The sequence below is a fragment of the Homo sapiens genome, chromosome 19 (assembly GCF_000001405.40).
Source record: "Homo sapiens chromosome 19, GRCh38.p14 Primary Assembly".
Lineage (NCBI taxonomy): Eukaryota > Metazoa > Chordata > Mammalia > Primates > Hominidae > Homo > Homo sapiens.
The window spans coordinates 12,944,787-12,958,419 of NC_000019.10; the positions used below are offsets into that span (position 1 = coordinate 12,944,787).

General features: G+C 53.7%; 2 protein-coding genes across 5 annotated transcripts, besides 12 other annotated features; one reads left to right on the forward strand and one right to left on the reverse strand.

The window, feature by feature from the left end:
* Positions 854–1,546: an enhancer, noted in NCBI's record as "H3K27ac hESC enhancer chr19:13056454-13057146 (GRCh37/hg19 assembly coordinates)". NCBI's record gives its function as "activates a minimal SCP1, AML or CMV promoter by ChIP-STARR-seq in naive and primed H9 embryonic stem cells {active_cell/tissue: H9 hESC(naive and primed)}" and the evidence as "EXISTENCE:reporter gene assay evidence [ECO:0000049][PMID:30033119]".
* Positions 958–1,177: an enhancer, noted in NCBI's record as "active region_14099". NCBI's record gives its function as "activates an Ori minimal core promoter by ATAC-STARR-seq in GM12878 lymphoblastoid cells {active_cell/tissue: GM12878}" and the evidence as "EXISTENCE:reporter gene assay evidence [ECO:0000049][PMID:35858748]".
* On the forward strand, positions 1,076–8,856 carry RAD23A (RAD23 nucleotide excision repair protein A). Of its 4 annotated transcripts, none has more exons than NM_005053.4 (9): positions 1,076–1,234; positions 3,062–3,223; positions 3,391–3,572; positions 3,711–3,766; positions 3,900–4,027; positions 4,295–4,373; positions 4,489–4,622; positions 7,903–8,067; positions 8,150–8,856. In NM_005053.4, exons 1-9 carry the CDS (start codon positions 1,163–1,165, stop codon positions 8,261–8,263), a joined length of 1,092 nt encoding a protein of 363 aa, NP_005044.1. In that variant the 5' UTR covers positions 1,076–1,162; the 3' UTR covers positions 8,264–8,856. The 4 variants fall into 4 exon arrangements, 3 of the variants coding, with proteins under 3 accessions (NP_005044.1, NP_001257291.1, NP_001257292.1); NM_001270362.2 differs by having other exon boundaries at positions 4,492–4,622; NR_072976.2 differs by lacking the exon at positions 3,711–3,766.
* Positions 1,238–1,317: a silencer, noted in NCBI's record as "silent region_10182". NCBI's record gives its function as "represses an Ori minimal core promoter by ATAC-STARR-seq in GM12878 lymphoblastoid cells {active_cell/tissue: GM12878}" and the evidence as "EXISTENCE:reporter gene assay evidence [ECO:0000049][PMID:35858748]".
* Positions 1,328–1,517: a silencer, noted in NCBI's record as "silent region_10183". NCBI's record gives its function as "represses an Ori minimal core promoter by ATAC-STARR-seq in GM12878 lymphoblastoid cells {active_cell/tissue: GM12878}" and the evidence as "EXISTENCE:reporter gene assay evidence [ECO:0000049][PMID:35858748]".
* Positions 1,538–1,597: a silencer, noted in NCBI's record as "silent region_10184". NCBI's record gives its function as "represses an Ori minimal core promoter by ATAC-STARR-seq in GM12878 lymphoblastoid cells {active_cell/tissue: GM12878}" and the evidence as "EXISTENCE:reporter gene assay evidence [ECO:0000049][PMID:35858748]".
* Positions 1,538–1,863: a biological region, named in NCBI's record as "Sharpr-MPRA regulatory region 11818".
* Positions 1,569–1,863: a silencer, noted in NCBI's record as "tiled region #11818; HepG2 Repressive non-DNase unmatched - State 1:Tss". NCBI's record gives its function as "represses a minimal TATA promoter and a strong SV40 promoter by Sharpr-MPRA in HepG2 cells {active_cell/tissue: HepG2}" and the evidence as "EXISTENCE:reporter gene assay evidence [ECO:0000049][PMID:27701403]".
* Positions 2,493–3,692: an enhancer, noted in NCBI's record as "CDK7 strongly-dependent group 2 enhancer chr19:13058093-13059292 (GRCh37/hg19 assembly coordinates)". NCBI's record gives its function as "activates an origin of replication core promoter dependent on BRD2, BRD4, P300/CBP, MED14 and CDK7 cofactors, with strong dependence on CDK7, by STARR-seq in HCT116 cells {active_cell/tissue: HCT116}" and the evidence as "EXISTENCE:reporter gene assay evidence [ECO:0000049][PMID:35650434]".
* Positions 7,721–8,920: an enhancer, noted in NCBI's record as "BRD4-independent group 4 enhancer chr19:13063321-13064520 (GRCh37/hg19 assembly coordinates)". NCBI's record gives its function as "activates an origin of replication core promoter dependent on BRD2, P300/CBP, MED14 and CDK7 cofactors, and independent of BRD4, by STARR-seq in HCT116 cells {active_cell/tissue: HCT116}" and the evidence as "EXISTENCE:reporter gene assay evidence [ECO:0000049][PMID:35650434]".
* Positions 8,333–12,437, reverse strand: GADD45GIP1 (GADD45G interacting protein 1). Its single transcript, NM_052850.4, has 2 exons — positions 12,077–12,437; positions 8,333–9,740 (listed from the first exon to the last, which is right to left on the reverse strand). The coding sequence occupies exons 1-2, from the start codon at positions 12,424–12,426 to the stop codon at positions 9,422–9,424; spliced, it is 669 nt and encodes a 222-aa protein (NP_443082.2). The 5' UTR covers positions 12,427–12,437; the 3' UTR covers positions 8,333–9,421.
* Positions 11,764–11,813: an enhancer, noted in NCBI's record as "active region_14100". NCBI's record gives its function as "activates an Ori minimal core promoter by ATAC-STARR-seq in GM12878 lymphoblastoid cells {active_cell/tissue: GM12878}" and the evidence as "EXISTENCE:reporter gene assay evidence [ECO:0000049][PMID:35858748]".
* Positions 11,913–12,785: an enhancer, noted in NCBI's record as "H3K27ac-H3K4me1 hESC enhancer chr19:13067513-13068385 (GRCh37/hg19 assembly coordinates)". NCBI's record gives its function as "activates a minimal SCP1, AML or CMV promoter by ChIP-STARR-seq in primed H9 embryonic stem cells {active_cell/tissue: H9 hESC(primed)}" and the evidence as "EXISTENCE:reporter gene assay evidence [ECO:0000049][PMID:30033119]".
* Positions 12,214–12,383: a silencer, noted in NCBI's record as "silent region_10185". NCBI's record gives its function as "represses an Ori minimal core promoter by ATAC-STARR-seq in GM12878 lymphoblastoid cells {active_cell/tissue: GM12878}" and the evidence as "EXISTENCE:reporter gene assay evidence [ECO:0000049][PMID:35858748]".

The following is a 13,633-nucleotide window of genomic DNA, read 5'->3' on the forward strand; positions in this document are numbered from 1 at the left end:
AGGCTGGCGTACAGTGGCTCAATCTGGTTCACCCTGCCCCTTAAACTGGCCTTTTTCATGCTTCTATTCCTTTGGGGTCCTGTGGCTCAGCCCAACCCCTCTGGGATGCCTCCAGGACTGGTAGATCCAAGGGAGAATTCTGTATTTAATGTAGTGAGGCTTTGAAAGTTAACATCTTTAAATACTTCTGGGGTCAGATTAGGTATAGTACAACAAAGTACTCCTGCCCGGAGACCCAAGAATGAAAATTGTAGGTTCATTCCAAAACTCCAGATCCCTAAAGAATGAATGAGGCTACAAAATGGCACCTTGCCCCCGCTTCCAACTTAAGGTTTTTTTTCTGTGCTTGGTGGCCTTTCAGGTATTTCTAGTTTTGAGTAACTTTCACTTTGACTGCTCTACAAGGGTTCCTGCCAGGATACCCAGACCAGAATAAAACTCATTTGGGGGCCGGGTACGGTGGTTCACGCCTGTAATCCCAGCACTTTGGGAGGCCGAGGCGGGTGGATCACCTGAGGTCAGGAGTTTTGAGACCAGCCTGGCCAACACGGTGAAACCCAATACAAAAAATTATCCGGGCGTGGTGGGGGGTGCCTGTAATCCCAGTTACTCGGGAGGCTGAGGCAGGAGAATTGCATGAACCCGGAAGGCGGAAGCTGCAGTGAGCCGAGATCGCGCCACTGCACTCCAGCCTGGGTGACAGAGACTGTTTGAAAGAAAAAATTCTCATTTGGAAGAGGCAAAATGAGGTTTTTACAGAAGAAATACAAATGTCTGTAACCAGTACAGGTACATAAAAACTTTGTTAAAAATTCATTTGAGCGTGAGAGTGGGGACACCAGAGTCACTTTGCAGCCCCGTGACGTCACCGATAACGGGCATGGCGTCACTCAGGAGACCACGTGTGCGGGCCGAGCAAGAAGCCCCGCCCACAGCGCGGAGTTTAGTCTGCGCGTGCCTCGCTCGAGAACGCGCTCGTGCGCATGCCCACAAAGGCCAAGGAGGGAGTGCGCAGGTCACGTGCGCCGGTGGTCAGCGCGCGCATTGCCTGCCCCGGAAGTGGTCGGCGCGCGGCGCGGCGCGCCTGGGCGCTAAGATGGCGGCGGCGTGAGTTGCATGTTGTGTGAGGATCCCGGGGCCGCCGCGTCGCTCGGGCCCCGCCATGGCCGTCACCATCACGCTCAAAACGCTGCAGCAGCAGACCTTCAAGATCCGCATGGAGCCTGACGAGACGGTGCGGGCCGGGCCGGAGCCCGGGGGCGGGAGCGACGGGTTTCGGGGGTGGGGTGGGGGCGGGGAGGCTAGAATCCCAACGGGAGGGGCAGGGAGGACGGCGCGGGTCGGCCCTGCCCAGACCCCCGACCTGCCCGACTTTCCTGGACCCCCCGATGGTCTTTGGCCCAGCCCCCAGCCGATCGGGCGGCGCTCCTGCGCCGGTCTCCGGGCGAGGCCCCACCCCCGGGGCGCTGGCCAGGCCCCGGCTCCAATGTCAGCGCTCTCGCGGGGCGCGGGAGTCACAAGCTCGGATTCCTGGGCAGGCCAAGCTCTCCAAGACTGGGCTCCACGTTCCCAGCTTTGCAGGCGTCTCCTTGGGACACTGGTGGTCGAATCTAGGAGTAATGACCAGGAGATACTGAGTAGTGACGACAACAACGATGTTAATGATAATAAACGGGTCTCAGTCTTTATAATTTTGGTGGTCCGTGTTTGTTGGCCGTTTACTTTTTATCAGTCACCGAGTGTTGTAGTGTTGTTTTACCGCTCTGCAAAACGGGCTTGTCATTGGGGACCTCTGATCATTTTACAGATGTGGAAACCTAGGGATTGAGGAACTTTGCCACAGTCACACACAAGTAATGGCAGAGCTGGGATTCAAATTCGGTTCTGCCTCGTGTGAGCGTCCACGATATAAATATTATGCTGCCTTTTTAGTCAAAAGTAGAATTAGGACCTAATTCAAACATACTGAATGTCTATTGGGTACTTGGCGCTTTTTGCATAGTGAGGGAGACATTGAAGTCCACTTTTTGTAGAAAAGGAAACACACATTTTTTGATCCGCTCAAGTGTTTGGCTTTGGGCAAGTTAACCTGCCTACCTGTCTGTGCCTCCGTTTTCTCAAATATCAAATGAACCGGTCGCCTGCTGGCTTCCGCCTGTAATCCCAGCACTTAGGGAGGCAGAGGGAAGAGGAGCCCTTGAGCCTAGGAATTCGAGATCATCCTGGCAACACAGTGAGACCCCGTTCTCTACAAAAAAAAGAAACAAAAATCAATAAATAAAATGAGACCAATTAAACGTATTTCATAGGAAACTTAAAAGGTATGACACATATACATTTACAGTAGCACTATTGGCCAGGCACGGTGGCTCATGCCTCTAATCCTGATGATTTGGGAGGCAGAGGCAGGAGGATTGCTTGAGGCCAGGAGTTTGAGACCAGCCAGTCTAACATAGGGAGACTCTTATCTACAAAAAAAAATTATTTTTAATTAGTCTGGAGTGGTGGTGTGTACCTTTAGTCCTAGCTACTCCCAAGGCTGGACAAGAGTACCAGTTGAGCCCAGGAGTTTGAGGCTGCAGTCAGCGATGATCGTGCCACATCAATCCAGCATGGGCGGCAGCGAGATCCTGCCTCTTAAAATTAAAAAATATCACTATTAACTATTAGTCACTTATTGTCCAAGGTAGAGTGTAGAGTGGGGGACTGTCCCCTTTATTCTGTTAATTATACTTTATACTACCCGAAATTACATTTTCTTCACATTAGTGTTCTCTCATTGAGAGCAGGGACTTACTTGTGTTGAGTTTGTTCTGTGCTGTGGCCTCTGTGTCTAAAACAGCACCTGGCACATAATGGGTGTTTAGTATAAGTAAATACTGTGTTGAATGGCATGATGATTGAATGAATTCAAATCTAGCATGCTTTAGATGCTGAGAAAGCTTAAAAAACCCAGCGTGCTTGCCTTTCTGCCATCAGGGCTGGCAGTTTCTCTGTCCTAAACTAGAAGGGAAAAGAGAATCTTGGGGTCTCCAGTGACTGTCTGTACCACTCCCTCTAGGTGAAGGTGCTAAAGGAGAAGATAGAAGCTGAGAAGGGTCGTGATGCCTTCCCCGTGGCTGGACAGAAACTCATCTATGCCGGCAAGATCTTGAGTGACGATGTCCCTATCAGGGACTATCGCATCGATGAGAAGAACTTTGTGGTCGTCATGGTGACCAAGGTGGGTGACGTGTGCTGGCTGGGAGGGTGGGTGGACGAGCTGGGGAGCTGGCAAAGAGCCTGTGTGCCCAGGAGAGATTAGCTGTGAACAGGGCGGGGCCACAGCGGAGCGGGTTGTTGGGTCTGATAGGGTTGCTGATGCCAGCTCCCTTTTTCTTGCTGTTGCAGACCAAAGCCGGCCAGGGTACCTCAGCACCCCCAGAGGCCTCACCCACAGCTGCCCCAGAGTCCTCTACATCCTTCCCGCCTGCCCCCACCTCAGGCATGTCCCATCCCCCACCTGCCGCCAGAGAGGACAAGAGCCCATCAGAGGAATCCGCCCCCACGACGTCCCCAGAGTCTGTGTCAGGGTAAGGCGGGGGCAGCAGTCCCAGCTTGGGCCCTGTCCTCCTAGCACATTCCAGCGTCCACATAAGTGGTCCCACACACCTGGAGGGAGGGCAAGCCGCCAGAAGCCAGGGTCCGATTTCTCTCTCTTGAATTTGCAGCTCTGTTCCCTCTTCAGGTAGCAGCGGGCGAGAGGAAGACGCGGCCTCCACGCTAGGTGGGTGGGTGGTCCCCAGGGCAGAGGTGACTGGGTGCCCCAGCCATCAGCTGGGCCTTGTCTGGGTGCGGGAGGGCCTGGGAGCTGCCCTTTCCTCTTCCTGGTGACCTAGGCTTTGCTGCTTCCTCCACAGTGACGGGCTCTGAGTATGAGACGATGCTGACGGAGATCATGTCCATGGGCTATGAGCGAGAGCGGGTCGTGGCCGCCCTGAGAGCCAGCTACAACAACCCCCACCGAGCCGTGGAGTATCTGCTCACGGTGAGGTGGGGCTTCCGCCTCCCGGGGAGGCCTTGAGGGAGTACCCGGGCGTCACTGCCCTGATGGGCGGTTGGGAAGGCAAAACCTGCCCTGAAAAGCCTTTGGGTAGTGATTCTAGCCACTAAAGGCTTCCCACAGGAGGCTGGATGTGAGTGATGGGTGGGCCTCTGGAGGGCAGGGCCGAGGCCTCATCTGTGTCCTGCCAGGGCATGGAGGAGGGTGGCAGCAGGAGGTCTGTGCATTAGAACTAAACAGGACCCCTGACAGGGAATTCCTGGGAGCCCCGAGCCGGAACACGGTTCTGTCCAGGAGAGCCAGGTATCGGAGCAGCCGGCCACGGAAGCAGGTGGGTGTGCACATGCCGCATCTGCCCTCCAGGTACCTGACTCACATTACACTCCACCCCGCAGTGCTCCTAGGAGCCCGGCGTGGTGTCTGACTGCACCCCTTCCTACTACCAGCAGGAGAGAACCCCCTGGAGTTCCTGCGGGACCAGCCCCAGTTCCAGAACATGCGGCAGGTGATTCAGCAGAACCCTGCGCTGCTGCCCGCCCTGCTCCAGCAGCTGGGCCAGGAGAACCCTCAGCTTTTACAGGTGTGGTCCCAAGGGCAGAGGGAGCTAGGGCAGCCACCATTTCCCTTCCCTGTGGGCACCAGAGTCCATAACACGTAGGAATCGTTCTAGGTCCGGAAAGCAGGACTAAGCACATGCTTCCCCCACGCCCCTGTGCTTCCTGTGACCTGGTGACCCCCCTGGTTTCTCAGTCTTCCCAACCACCTTGTAAGGTGTGGGTGCTGTCAACATCACCTCCCACAGAAGAAGACACCGGAAACTTAGAGCAGCCTGTCATTCCCAGGGTCACGCAGCTGGTAGTGTGTGTGTCTGCCTCCTGCCTCGGGGTGGGGTCCTGGGCTGGGGCTCTGGCTTCACATACAGATGGTGCTGCGTAAATGTCTGTAAGGTGGCATGACGTCACCCAGGACAGCTGTGCCCCAGTTGGCTCTGGGACAACTCTGCTCAGTGAGGCTCCATCTTGCCCTTGAAGGTTCACAGGAAGAGTGGGGGAGTGGCCCCCTGGGTGCAAGTAGGTTCCTCTGGGTTCTCGGTGAAGTGCCTACCGGTCTTGGCTCAGGACCCTGCTGTCTGACCCTTCTCCTCTCACTTCTCAGTCCCTTGCCAGCTCCTCCTGGTCGGTCGTGTTCTTCATCTGCACTCAGCCCTCCCTCATAGTGTCCTGGGGCCTTCAGTCTGTATGGGAACCCCCAAATCTATGTAGCCAGCCCAGGCCTCTCTGAATGCCACACTCCATGGCTGGCTTAATTAACTCTCCATCAAAGTGCTCCCTAGACTAGACGTCTAAGACTTAGAACAGACCTCCCCAGTCCTCCCCGATCTCTGCAAGGATTAGCTTGGGGTTGCTTCAGCCCCAGGCCCTGGGGATCTGCTGGGGTCTACCCCTTGTCCTGTCTGCTCTTCCCACTCAGCCCCTCCCTGCACTCCAGCTCTCTGGTAGCCTCTTCCTGGGCCTCTGCCACTGCATAGTCCCACAGTCCACTTTTCAACCATGAGGCAGATGACTAAAAAGCACTTTCTTTTCTTTTTTTTTTTGAGAGGAAATCTCGCTCTGTCGCCCAGGCTGGAGTGCAATGGCGCAATCCCGGCTCACTGCAACCTCCGCCTCCCGGGTTCAAGCGATTCTTTTGCCCCCGCCCGAGTAGCTGGGACTACAGGCGCCCGCCACCACGCCTGACTAATTTTTTGTATTTTTAGTAGAGATGGGATTTCACCCTGTTAGCCAGGATGGTCTCAATCTCCTGACCTAATGATCTGCCCGCCTTGGCCTCCCAAAGTGCTGCAATTACAGGCATGAGCCATCACACCTGGCTGACTGAAAAGCACTTTCTTCTTTAATGTGAAAATGATCAGATGCATACAATGGTAGAGTTATATCAGAGCTTCCAGATACCCAGGTAGGGCACAGTGGCTCATGCCTGTAATCCCAGCACTTTGGGAGGCTAAGGCAGGCAGACCACTTGGTCAGGAGTTTTAGACCAGCCTGGCCAACATGGCAAAAACTCGTCTCTACTATAAATACAAAAAGTAGCTGAGCATGGCGGCAGGCCACTGTAGTCCCAGCTACTCAGGAGGTGGAGGCAGGAGAATCGCTTGAACCCAGGAGGCAGAAATTACAGTGAACCGAGATTGCCCCACTGCACTCCAGCCTGGGTGACAGAGTGAGAGTGTCTCAAAAAGAACAGAAACAAAAATGAACAAATGAACTTCCAGATACCTAAATCCAACACCCAGATGAGTTCACTTTTTTTGGTTTGGGGGCTGGTAGGTGGGAATAGAGACAGGGTCTATGTTGCCCAGGCTGGTTTTGAACTCTTGGGCCCAAGCAGTCCCTCCTGCCTTGCCTCCCAAATTGTTGAGGTTACAGGCGTGAGCCACCACACCCGGCCAAGTTCACCTTTCTAAAAGATCCACAGACCACGTCTTTTCCCATGTAACTGTCACCACCGTGGCTTCCCCCTGCTCTAGAAAATGGGTCTGACTTGGGCCTTCCTCTCTGGTGTCATTGTCTGCCTCCTCCCCCTTCCCTTGTTCGCTGTTTTTTGTTTTTTTTGTTGTTGTTGTTTGTTTGTTTTTGAGATGGAGTTTCGCTCTTGTTGCCCAGGCTGGAGTGCAGTGGCGTGATCTCAGCTCACCGTAACCTCCGCCTCCTGGGTTCAAGAGATTCTCCTGCCTCAGCCCCCAGAGTAGCTGGGATTACAGGCATGTGCCACCACGCCCTGCTAATTTTATATTTTTAGTAGAGATGGGATTTCTCCATGTTGGTCAGGCTGCTCTCAAACTCCTGACCTCAAGTGATCTGCCTGCCTCAGCCTCCCAAAGTACTGGGATTGCAGGCATGAGGCACCGTGCCCAGCCCCATTCACTCTGTTCCTGCTTCTGTTTCTGAGACTTCCCAGATGCATCCACCCTGGGCCTTTGCACTTGCTGTTTGCTTTACCTGGAGGAAACCCTCTGCATCCGCCATACTGCAGGCCTCTCCACCAGCCCTCATCTGCAGTTCCTTCCTAGCCAGACACTTGCAGTTGTCTGGTTCATTTATTGGCTCACTCACTTATTTTTTGAGAGTCTCTTGCCCAGGCTGGAGTGCAGTGGCACAGTCTCGGCTCCCTGCAACCTCTGCCTCCTGTGTTCAAGTGATTCTCCTACCTTAGCCTTCTTGAGTAGATGGGATTACAGGCACGTGCCATCACACCCAGCTAATTTTTGTATTTTAGTAGAGACGGAGTTTCACCATATTGGCCAGGCTGGTCTCGAACTCCAGGCTGGTCTAGAATCACCTGAAGTGATTATAGGTGTGAACCACTGCAGCCAGCCTATTTATGTATTTATTTATTCAAGACAGGGTCTTGCTCTGTTGCCCAGGCTGGAGTTCAGTGGCTTACTGCAGCCTCCGCCTCCTGGGTTCAGTCTTATGCCTCAGCCTGCCAAGTAGCTGGGATTACAGGCGTCTGCCACCACACCTGGCTACTTTTTGTATTCTTAGTAGAGATGGGGGTTCACCATGTTGGCCAGGCTGGACTCGAACTCCTGACCTCAAGTGATCCACCTGCCTCTGCCTCCCAAAGTGCTGGGATTACAGGTGTGAGCCACCGTGCCCGGCTTATTTCTTGGCTCACTTAAAAGCACATCATCAGCTCTTCCAGGGTAGGGCTTGTGTCGACTGCTATGTTGTGTTTGGCCAGAACAGGCTCCTCTGGATATTTGCCTGACTGAATGAAAAAGCAAGGGCTGTGATGACCTGGGGAGAGGAGGGGACCAGGGCTGTGAATTACCTTCCCTTCCCCACCCTCTCCTGCAGCAAATCAGCCGGCACCAGGAGCAGTTCATCCAGATGCTGAACGAGCCCCCTGGGGAGCTGGCGGACATCTCAGATGTGGAGGGGGAGGTGGGCGCCATAGGAGAGGAGGCCCCGCAGATGAACTACATCCAGGTGACGCCGCAGGAGAAAGAAGCTATAGAGAGGGTAAGAGGCCTGGCTGAGGGGTGACTGCAGGTGGGCAGGACCCCTACCCTCTCCTGCTCACACTTAACCTATCTTCCCACAGTTGAAGGCCCTGGGCTTCCCAGAGAGCCTGGTCATCCAGGCCTATTTCGCGTGTGAAAAAAATGAGAACTTGGCTGCCAACTTCCTCCTGAGTCAGAACTTTGATGACGAGTGATGCCAGGAAGCCAGGCCACCGAAGCCCCCACCCTACCCTTATTCCATGAAAGTTTTATAAAAGAAAAAATATATATATATTCATGTTTATTTAAGAAATGGAAAAAAAAATCAAAAATCTTAAAAAAACAAGCAAACAGTCCAGCTTCCTGTCCTCCTAAAGTGGCCCCTGTTCCCATCTCCCGGGCCAGACAGCTGTCCCCCCGTCCTCCTCCCCAGCCCAGCCTGCTCAGAGAAGCTGGCAGGACTGGGAGGCGACAGATGGGCCCCTCTTGGCCTCTGTCCCAGCTCTCTGCAGCCAGACGGAAAGGCGGCTGCTTGCCTCTCCATCCTCCGAAAAACCCCTGAGGACCCCCCCCCATCCTCTTCTAGGATGAGGGGAAGCTGGAGCCCCAACTTTGATCCTCCATTGGAGTGGCCCAAATCTTTCCATCTAGGGCAAGTCCTGAAAGGCCCAAGGCCCCCTCCCCAGTCTGGCCTTGGCCTCCAGCCTGGAGAAGGGCTAACATCAGCTCATTGTCAAGGCCACCCCCACCCCAGAACAGAACCGTGTCTCTGATAAAGGTTTTGAAGTGAATAAAGTTTTAAAAACTAGCCCTATGGTCTGTGCCTGCTGGGGCTCCCCGCGCCCACCTGTCTGGGTCTTGGGGGGCTGGCTGGGCACAGGCAGGCATGGTGACGGGTGCCTGGAAGGGGGAGAGGAGTCTGTGAGTCCCTGCAGATTGAGGCTTCCGGTGTCTCCTCCCCCAGTGTGTCATTTCCAGGCAGTGGACCCCAGCCCAACGTTACAAGGACTGCTTCTCCCCGGCCCCCACCATCATCACCACAGTCTGTTTTGGCTATACTTCCCCCCCCACCAGCCTTGTAATTGGCTAATTACTGGAGATGAATGTTGGTAAACAGAAGCCTTCTTCTCTTCTGCCATCTGCTTCTCCATTATTTGCCCATTGTACACCCCCCTTTTCCTCCCACTGAAGCCCCAGTTAGTCAGCAGGGCCTAGAGTCCCTGTCCCCTTTTGAGTACAGCCAAGTGGGGGATTCCCCAGCTCTTAAGTATTGGGGGAGGAACCAGGGGACCCAGAGAGGCACACCTTGAGAGGACGCAGATCTCTTCAGGGGTACTGCCAGGTAGCAGGCTTTATTGGGAAGGGACAAAGCCTCAGGAGCTGGGTGCCCCAGAGGCTGCTGGGTCTTGAGCCACAGCTGCAGCCAATGCAGCAGCTCGCGCCTCCTTCTTCCGTTTCTGTTTTTCCTCCTTGAGGCGCTTGCGCTCCTTCTTCTCTAGGTCCTGGAGCAGCTCCTGGAAGCGGGCACTCCTTGGGTCCACCTGGTAGCCCAGGAGCTCCTGGGCCTCAGCCTGCAGTCGGGCCCTCCTCTCCTTGTCAGCCTGGGCCTTCTCCCAGTTCTCCCGCTGCTGCTGCTGCCAGTTCACAATCATCTGTGGCATCTTGGCCATGCACTCTGCGATGTGCTGCTCCCTGCAGGGGAGGGAGAGTGGGCTGTGACACTGGCACTCAGCCAGGGCAGAGCCCACCCACCCATATCTCACCCATAGGCCTTTGCCCACGAGCCTGCCTCCTCAACTCCCCCAGTAGATTAACTGTCAGGAAAAGCCCTTGACAAGTGAAGAAACAGGAAGAGATGATGAGAAAGTTACCTGTGCATGAATTTGATCACAAGGGCATGTCAAGCCCCAGTAAACCCCAGGTGCCAAAGCCAAATCAGCATTTCACTGAGCTGCCTACTGAGCAAGCCAAGTGCCACTCCCATGGATAATTTCACACCTTTATTTCATAGACATTGCTGAGCACTTCCTGTACAGAGGCCAGGCCCAATTCTAGGCACAGGAGTGAAAGCAAGAAAGACATTTCCCACCAATCCTTGAGTTTGTAGCTACCAGTCACAGCCCCATTTTTTTCTTTTAAGTTCAGGGGTACAAGTGCAGGTTTGTTACGTAGGTAAACTTGTGTCATGGGGTTTTTTTGTACAGATTTATTTCATCACTCAGGTATTAAACCTAGTACCTAGAGGTCATTTTTCCTGATCCTCTCCCTCCACCCTCCAAAAAGCCCTAGTGTGTGTTGCTCCCCTGTGTGTCCATGTGTTCTCATCATTTAGCTCCCACTTACAAGTGAGAACACGTTGTATTTGGTTTTCTGTTCCTGTGTTAGTTTGCTAGGGATGATAGCCTCCAGCTCCCGTCGTGTCCCTGCAAAGGACATGATCTCGTTCTTTTTTATGACAGCCTCATTTAAGGATTAGAAAAGTAAAAGAATTAAGCCCTATAATGGTCATCTGGCTGAGGAGGGGCAGAAACAGGAGTCCCTGCTCCATGATTCCCTGCCTGGGTGATCAGACGCATGACTTCACTTCACCAAGCCTCAGTTTCCTCATCTCTAAAATTAGGGCAATCCCTTCTTCCTCTTAAGGCTATTAGGAAAACAAGAAGATTAAACACCAGGAACACACTTGACCTACCCCCTTCACGCTCCAGGATGTGGCATTATCTATAAGAGATGCCCCTGGTCTGGCCCGACGCGGTGGCTCACGCCTGTAATCCTAGCACTTTGGGAGGCCGAGGCAGATGGATCACCTGAGGTCAGGAGTTTGAGACCAGCCTGGCCAATATGGCGAAACCCCATCTCTACTAAAAATACAAAAAATGAGCCGGGTGTGGTGGTGGGCGCTTGTAATCCCAGCTACTCGGGAGGCTGAAGCAGGAGAATCTCTTGATCCTGGGAGGCAGAGGTTGCAGTGAGCTGAGATTGCACTCCAGCCTGGGCAACAAGAGCAAAACTCTGCCTCAAAACAACAACAACAACAACAACAAAAAGATGCCCCTGGTCCTTCAGACCTGCCTCTGTATCTGACCTCTGCCCTCTTGGTTCCAGGACCCATCACCTTCCTGCCCTCACCTTTTCCCCAGCCACACTGGCTTCCTGGCTGTTCTTTAAGGCATATCGTATCTCAGGGCATTTGCCCCAGCTGTTCCCTTTACCAGAAACTTTCTACCCAAGAGATCGCCCCATAGCTAAGTCTGGTTATTCAGGTCTTTGCTTAAACATCACCTCCTCAGAGAGGCCTGAGGCTTCCCAAACCAAAGCTGCCCTCAGGCACACACTCTTCACTCTTTTACCTTCCTACTAGTCGGCTGTCACCATTGGTATTATCTTGCCTGTCAGCTGTCGCCATCTGATATTAAGGGCCCTTTTGGGGCCTGCCTCGGCCTCCCAAATAACTGGGATTACAGGCACGAGCCACCGCCCCCGGCCTGGGACAGGGTCTTGCACACGGTATGCGCTCAGTAAAGACTTGGTGGTGATGGCCGGACGTGATGGCTCACACCTGTAATCCCGGCACTTTGGGAGGCTGAGGCAGGTGGATCACTTGAAGTAAGGAGTTTGAGACCAGCCTGGCCAACATGGTGGAACCCCGTCTCTACTAAAACTACAAAAATTTGCCGGGCGTGGTGGTGCACGCCTGTAATCCCAGCTACACCGGAGGCTAAGGCGGGAGAATCGCTTGAACCGGGGAGGCGGAGGTTGCAGTGAGCCAAGATCTTGCGACTGCACTCCAGCCTGGGCAACAGAGCGAGACTCTTGTCTCCAAAAAACAAACAAACAAACAAACAAAACTTGCTGATGAATGACTAAATGGACGTTATTCTGAGTTTGTTTTGCGGCCAGGTGAGCGTATACATAAATCTACAACATGCAGATGCTGCGACGTGACCCCGAAGGGGTAGGCACGGTTTGGGGCCCAGTTCGCCCACGGGGCACAGAGGGCAGCCCCGCGTCTGCCTGCACGCACGCACCTCTCCCGACGCTTCTGCTCTTCGGCCAGCTGCTTCACCCGCAGCGACTCCTGCATGGTCGCCAGGCTCGGGTACCATTCGCGTTCTTCGGCCTCCAGCTCCCGCAGCTGCTCCGGCGACGGCCATAACGAACCGGGGACCACCCCGGAGGCGGCGCCGTAACGCGCGAACTGCTTAGCCGCGTAGCGCGGTCCCAGCTGCCACCGCGGGGTCAGGAGGTCCTCGGGGTCTGGCCACCGGGGTCCCGGCCTGCGGCGCGGGGGCGGCCGCGCCCGGTAGCCACGGGAACCCGGGGCCAGGGTCGCCGCCACACCTAGTAGGCTGCGTGCCTGTCGCACGGACGCCGCCATCTTGGCTGTGCGGGGTCCTCACAGGCCCGCCGGGCTGTCCATGCCCGGTGCCTGAGCGCGAGGCCCGGTGTGGGCCAGGGCAGGGCGAGGGGTGTCCCTGCTGCCTCAGTTCGGGGGAGGGCGGCGAAGGGGATAGTATGGGTTTTATACGTTTCCAAGTATAACTTTAAATTTTAGTTAAGCAGTTACTGATTAAAGTCATTTTTAATTTTCACTTTTTTTCTTCTCCTTTCTGCACACTGACACTTAAAAATACATATTTTTGTCGGGCGCGGTGGCTCACGCCTGTAATCTCAGCACTTTGGGAGGCCGAGGCGGGCGGATCACCTGAGGTCGCGAGTTCGAGACCAGTCTTTTTTTTTTTTTTTTTTCGAGACAGAGTCTCGCTCTGTCGCCCAGGCTGGAGGGTAACGGCGTGATCTCGGGTCACTGTAACCTCCGCCTTCCGGGAGGAGAGGAGAAACCCCGTCTCTACTAAAAATACAAAATTAGCCGGGCATGGTGGCGCATGCCTGTAGTCCCAGCTCCGCGGGAGGCTGAGGCAGGAGAATCGCTTGAACCCGGGAGGCGGAGGTTGGGGTGGGCCGAGATCGTGCCATTGCATTCCAGCCTGGGTAACAAGAGCGAAACTCCGTCTAAAAAATTAATAAATAAAAATAAATACATACATGCATACACACACACACACATATACATATATATATACGCTCACCTGGCTACAAATATATATTTGTGTATTTTTTTCTAAGTGTTCAGTGTTCTTTGGGTAAAAATTGTATTTTTGTTTTTTGCATATCAGAAACCATACTGTTTTATTCATCCATGTGTCTTCTGTGCACACAGTAGCCCTCCAATGAATAATCTGAAATCATGTTGAATGAACACATTGAAAAATCAAAAATAAGAGGCTGTGGCAGGGCCACTGATATGGTTTGGCTCTGTGTCCCCAACCAAATCTCATCCTGAATTATAATCCCCATGTGTCCAGGGAGGGACCTGTAATCCCCACATGTCGGGGAAGGGAGGTGGTTGGATCACGGGGGTGGTTTCCCCCATGCTATTCTTTTTTTTTTTTTTTTGCCTTCAAAAAGTTTATTTTATTTTATTTTATTATTATTATACTTTAAGTTTTAGGGTACTTGTGCACAACGTGCAGGTTTGTTACATATGTATACATGTGCCATGTTGGTGTGCTGCACCCATTAAC